Source organism: Homo sapiens, chromosome 11 (genome assembly GCF_000001405.40).
Source record: "Homo sapiens chromosome 11, GRCh38.p14 Primary Assembly".
NCBI lineage: Eukaryota > Metazoa > Chordata > Mammalia > Primates > Hominidae > Homo > Homo sapiens.
This window is the reverse complement of record NC_000011.10, coordinates 93,192,629-93,198,628: the sequence shown is the minus strand read 5'-3', so window position 1 is coordinate 93,198,628 and position 6,000 is coordinate 93,192,629. Positions and strand designations below refer to the sequence as shown.

At 39.8% G+C, this 6,000-nt stretch overlaps 1 protein-coding gene across 4 annotated transcripts in view, besides 1 other annotated feature; it reads left to right on the top strand.

Annotated features, from left to right (window-relative positions):
- Nucleotides 497–876: a silencer, noted in NCBI's record as "silent region_3834". NCBI's record gives its function as "represses an Ori minimal core promoter by ATAC-STARR-seq in GM12878 lymphoblastoid cells {active_cell/tissue: GM12878}" and the evidence as "EXISTENCE:reporter gene assay evidence [ECO:0000049][PMID:35858748]".
- The window catches only part of SLC36A4 (solute carrier family 36 member 4), a 53,818-nt gene continuing 48,455 nt past the window's right edge, over nt 638–6,000 (top strand). For 2 of the 4 annotated variants that reach the window (NM_152313.4, XM_047426352.1), the window contains exon 1: nt 638–851. In NM_152313.4, coding sequence (NP_689526.2) covers nt 797–851 — 55 coding nt within the window. In that variant the 5' untranslated portion in view covers nt 638–796. Of the gene's footprint in view, nt 852–1,202; nt 1,438–6,000 lie in introns of those variants that run through there. The other 2 variants (NM_001286139.2, XM_047426350.1) reach the window with 1 other exon arrangement.

The following is a 6,000-nucleotide window of genomic DNA, read 5'->3' as shown; positions in this document are numbered from 1 at the left end:
ACTTCTGCCATGTACAAGCTTCCTGTCCCCAGACACGTTACTTACCTCCGTGCCTTAATCCCTTCATCTTTAGCGTTAATGTAAATATTAGAATTATCTCACAAATTGTAGTCAGAATTAAAGATAATGTATGTATGGTGCTTAGGAGTACTTGAAACTACATCAGTACACTTAGTCTTTACCTTAATTTTCTTTCAGCACCACGGTCAACGTCAAATATCTGGAAGGACATTGAAATATCCTGAAAGTGAAATTGTATATGACTTAATTAAATTCTATTTAAGTGTCTCCTGTAACTCTAACTATAGAAACAGGGAGACGAATAACCAGAGTAGTCAGAACCTCAGCATGGGTAGGGGACAAATCCCGTCCTTCTTCGCATTCTCCAAGGTGACTTACAGAACGCTAACGCCTTGCATACGGACAGGCGCCCCAAATTTAAGTTCGCCGTCATCTTTAAAACCCCCAGGGAGCTATGGGCCCGGGTCTCGGCTAGCTCTAAGGTCCCACCCTCGCTGATCTCAGGTTACCCAACCCTCCTCTCGGGTTACCCAACCCGGCCTCGCAGCAGTCCTCGGGTCTTCGGCCCCTCCCGCCCCTCGCCGGCGGTGCCCGCCGAGCCGGGCTGTCCCACTGCGCATGCTCCTCGCCGCGCGGTTGGGGAGCGCCGGGGCAGGGAGGCGGGCACCAGGCGCGGGTCCCTCCGGGCAGGGGAGGTAGGCCTGGGCCTGACGCCGGCCACGCAGCGGCGGGAGAGTGAGCACTCGGGCGGCGGCGTCCTGGAGACCCGCGAGAGATGGAAGCGGCGGCGACGCCGGCGGCTGCCGGGGCGGCGAGGCGCGAGGAGCTAGGTCGGTGTTGTGCGTGGGCAGGGAGCCGGGGCTGACGTGGGCGGGGGTCTGTGCGGGAGTCGGGTGCGCCCACACCTCCAGGGGCCCCGCGCTTGGCCTGAGTTGAGGCCCGATTGCTAACTGACCCCGTGGTCAGCATCCGCAAAGGAACCGGTTATCTGACCCCGAGAACTTGGTCAGACGAAGCCCAGGCCTGAATAGGGCGTTAAAATATGTGTGTGTGTGTTTGCGCGCGCGCGTGTGGGTGAGTGTGTGTGTTGAGTGGGGCGGGGCCCTGTGGGTACACGTCAAAGACGCAAGAGCCTGCGCCGTGACTCACGGTTTTTTTCCCAATGATGCTTTAAGGAAGTTATCATTGTTCTGCTTTTCAAATGCTGCAGCCCCATTCGGAATCTCCAGATGAATCCTCATTTTACTCCTTGTTATCCCAGAGTTTCGAACAGGTCGTGCTGACCAGAATGAACAGGAGATACCTGTAGCTTGCTCACTTGGCAAAGTTTGTTTGTTTTTTGCTGCTTTCCTCCCATCTTGTTTCTTGGCGACAGGGCGTGTTTGTTTACGGTTTCCCGCTGTCCAAAATAAAAAAGTAAGGATCAGGGTGGTAAAATGATCGCTCTCCCAGTTATACGTACTGTACTTGGGAGTATTTTTCATTCGATGCTGATTAAATGTAATTAAAAAATTAAATCTAAATGGAATCTTCAAGAAAACCGTTGAACTTTAAAAAATACCGTATTATAAGTAACTGATAGGTTGTTGTTATTCCTCTAATAGCCTGCAGGGCACTTTGCAATGGAATTGTTTTCAGGCCGTAATAATGGTAGAAACAATAAACTTAACATTTTATTGCGTGCTTACTGTGTGCAAACACTGTGCTAAGTGCTTTACCTATGCATTGTCTTTAATCCTCACAGCAACTGAGATAGGTGCTATCATGATTTCCATTTTATAGATACAGTAATTTTAAGCTTATTAATGGCAGAACCCAAATGTGAACTCAGGTTTCATTCATTAATAACCTGTCTTAGTGAGGATATGGAGAAATGGGTATTCTCATGCATTGCTGGCAGGAAAGGGATAATATATTTAGCCTTAAAAATGTACATATCGGCCTGGCGCGGTGGCTCACGCCTGTAATCCCAGCACTTTGGGAGGCTGAGGCGGCCGGATCATCACAAGGTCAGGAGATGGAGACCATCCTGGCTAACACGGTGAAACCCCGTCTCTACTAAAAACACAAAAAATTAGCCGGGCGTGGTGGCGGGCGCCTGTAGTCCCAGCTACTCGGGTGGCTGAGGCAGGAGAATGGCGTGAACCCGGGAGGCGGAGCTTGCCGTGAGCCGAGATCGTGCCACTGCACTCCAGCCTGGGCAACAGAGCGAGACTCTGTCTCAAAAAAAAAAAGTGCTTATCGTTTGACCCAGCAATTCTCCTTCAGAATATTTCCCGAGGAAATAAGTAATGTAACCCATACTTATATCAAGAGGTTTTCATTATAGTATATAGAGAAAAGCTGTTAACTAAAGTACAATGAAAGGAAATTGGTTAAATTGTGGTATAGTTTTACATTGCCTACCATTAAAAGTGATGTGGAAAGATGTTCAGCATGTACATTTTCTTTAACTGAAAAAAAGTTTCAAATTATTTCAGTTTTTTTAAGTTTTATATTTTCATTAATTCAACACATATTCATTGAGCTTCCCCTAGGCACTTGAGATACATCGTGAGCAAAACAGATAAAAATTCCTGTTCTTAATGGAGCTTGTATTTAGTAATGGGAAGCAGAGAGTAAGCAGTAAAGACAATAACCAGTTAATTATATAGTATGTTAGGTGAAAAGTGCTATGGAAAACAAGAGCAGGGTAAGGGAAATCAGGAATGAGGGTGGGGGCTAGGCAGTTTACAGTATTTTATAAAATGGTTGGGATGGGCCTTATTGAAAAGGTACAATTTGAGTAAAGACCTGGAAGAGGTAAGGAAATTAGCCAAATGGATATCTGGGGAACGACTACTCCAGGCAGAAAGAATAACTAAAGGAATAGCAAGGAGGACAAAGTGGCTGAAGCAGAGTGATGGAGGTGGCGATGGGGCCAAATTATGTAGGGTCTTGTAGGTAATGTAAACTGTGACTTTTACCCTGAGGGAAGGGGAGAACAATGCAGGGTTTGAACAGAGGAGTGTCATGATCTGCCTTGTTTTAAAAGGATTGCATTGACTGCCATGTGACGAATAAACTGTAAGGGGGCAAAAGTAAAAGCAGAAGAATATTTCAGTAATTCAGGAAAGATATGGGTGTCCTTCAGAGCAGTATGGTAGTGGCAGTGGAGGTGAATAGACATAGTTAGTCTCTAGGTATATTTTGAAAGAACCAGTGTGATTTCCTGACAGAATGGGTGAGGGTTAGAGAGTAAAACGGAGGAGACATGGAAGACTCCAGGGACCTGAGTATCTAGAAGAATGAAATTGTTATTAACTGGGATATTATGGTGGTTTTGTAATATACCTACAGAGTCTTTGATGTTTTTCTCTTAAGTAGGAGAAACTTAATTTCCTTCTCTTCAAGTGGGGGCTGGACTTAGTAACTTGTGTCTAATGAATAGATTATGGTAGAAGTGATGATGTATGACTTCAATACTAGATAATAAAGTGCATTGTGCCTTCCTCCTTGCCTTCTCTTTTTGAATCACTCACTTGAAGGGAAGCCAGCTGTCATGTTGTGAGGAGACTCAAGCAGCCCTAAGGAAAGCTCCATGTTGCACAAAACTGAGGGCTCCGGACAATAGCCATAAATTGTTATACAGCAATAGATAACTAATACAAATGGGTAAAGTTGCAGGAATAGCAGGCTTGCTGGTGAAGACCAGTTCAGTTTGGGGCATGTTAAGTTTGAGATGTCCATTAGATATCAAAGTGCACATGTCAAGTAGGCAATTGGATTTTATGTCTAGCATTAGTGAAAGGTCTGGTCTGGAAATGTAAATTTGGATGTTATCAGCATATAGATAGTATTTAAAGCTAGGAGACAGAATGAGAACATAATGAGAGTTGTTTGTGTGTATGTGTGTGTGCCTGTGAACATGTACTCTAAAATGTTAACAGTAGTAATTTGTGGGTAATGAAGTAATTTTTAATTTCAAAAATGTTTATATATTTTCTGATTTTCTACAATGACCAAGTGTTATTTAATTTAAAAAAAGAATTTCCAAAAATGGGTATTTATGTAAAAAGCACTGGTAGAGATGTTAAGATACAGGTTCTCGTAAGGTATGTAAATAGCTTAAGGTCTGCACTTTATTTCATATCCCATAGGGACCTCTGGAAAGTTTCTTGCTGTGTATATTTCTTCCACCTCAGAAATGAACAAAATAGTAATGGTTCTTATTTTATATCTAGAGAGTACTTTATTCGGGTGACAATATTATGTTATTTTAAAAAATGAAACTATTTCTACTTTCTTTTAGTTTTTCTATTGCCAAAATACAAGTGATTTTTAAATTTTATTATAAAAGTAATGCAAGTTTGCTACAACTACTTTTTTAAATTTTTTTTATTTTTATATTTTTTTACATTTTCCAGAGAAGGAAAAGCACACTAATGATCCAATTGTCCGTCTATATTCTGGTAAACTTGCTCACATTTTGATATATTTACTTCCCCTTATTTCTACTTAATTTTTAAAAACATGATTGTAATCATATTGCAGATATTCAACTTTTCCCACTTAGCATATGATACACTTTTCCCTGTTTTACTCAGACCTCACAACCATAATTTAATGTCAGTGCAATATTTCATAAAGTAACTGTGCCTTAGTTAATTTAGTAATTTCCTGATTGCTGTACATTTAGGTTGTTTCGCAATTTTCAACGTCAGTAATGTTTTAATGAACATTCTTGTGCAAAATCCTCTTCTGCATACACTAGCTTGCCAGAAGTAGAATTACTAGGTGAAAGAAATAAACATTTTTAAGACTTTAATACATAGGATATTGCTAAATTAATGTGATTTTAGAACATTCTGTCTACAACTTGAAATTTATATTGGTTTTAGGCTTGAAAATTGAGATTCAAACAATTTTCTTGGCAAATAAGAGAGCATACAAGCACTGCCTAATTTAAGAATGTTCCATTTGTATGCACCATTAATGTATCCCTATGGTGTACTATGTAATACACCTAACATCAGATATATGGTGTATAATAAATGTTGTATAATATTGAATCAAGCTAGTGTTTCTTATTTATATATAATTTCTCCACTCATAAATAGATAGCACACCTATTCCTTAATAGTGTTTTAGTTTATAAGGCATCATTAATTTTTACAATAATAATCACAGCATTTTCCAGAGCTGCCCAATTTAGTACTTAGCCAAAAATTACAGCAAAACATTGGGCGAAAATAATAGACATTATGTGTAATGTAAATTGGGTTCTATAATCTTTAATTCCTTTGGGGTGTCAGTTTTTATTTCATATATTCTTAACTCTGTTTACTATGTTGAGTTGTTAAGTGTTTATCTCCCTCACTAATCTCTATTTCCTTCTGGCAGATATAACATGTTTTGCCCATCTTTGCATACTCAATCTTACAGCACAGTTTATAGGTCATAAATGCTCAGAAGTATTAATTATTATCAAATTATTTCTAATTTTTGTCAAAGATTGGCATTTAAAAATCCCATAGAGCTTAATATGCTTCTAATATATGGAGGAAGACAAAAAAAGTGTTTATTGATTACTTATTTATGTGCCAGGGTCTAGGCTGTGTGCTTCATATACATTATTTCATTCTTCATATTCTATCTATGTAACATATATGTAATATATATAATAACTTCATATACATTATCATTTGTGATGACATCACAAAACTCCTATGTAATAGAAGTTATTATTTTCATTGTACATATGAGAAAATAGGCCCAGAGGAATCTGGTTAAAATGTAAATCAGATGATATCACTCCAAGGCCCAAAACTCTCTAGTGCTGTGCTGTTCAGTGCAATAGCCTTTAGTTATATGGTTATTGAGCGCTTGAAACGTGGTGTGTTCAAACTGAAATGTGCTGTAAGTGTAAAATACATGCTGCATTTCAAAGACTTAGTATGAAAAATAGAATCCAAAATATCTTAATTTTTTACTGTTGAT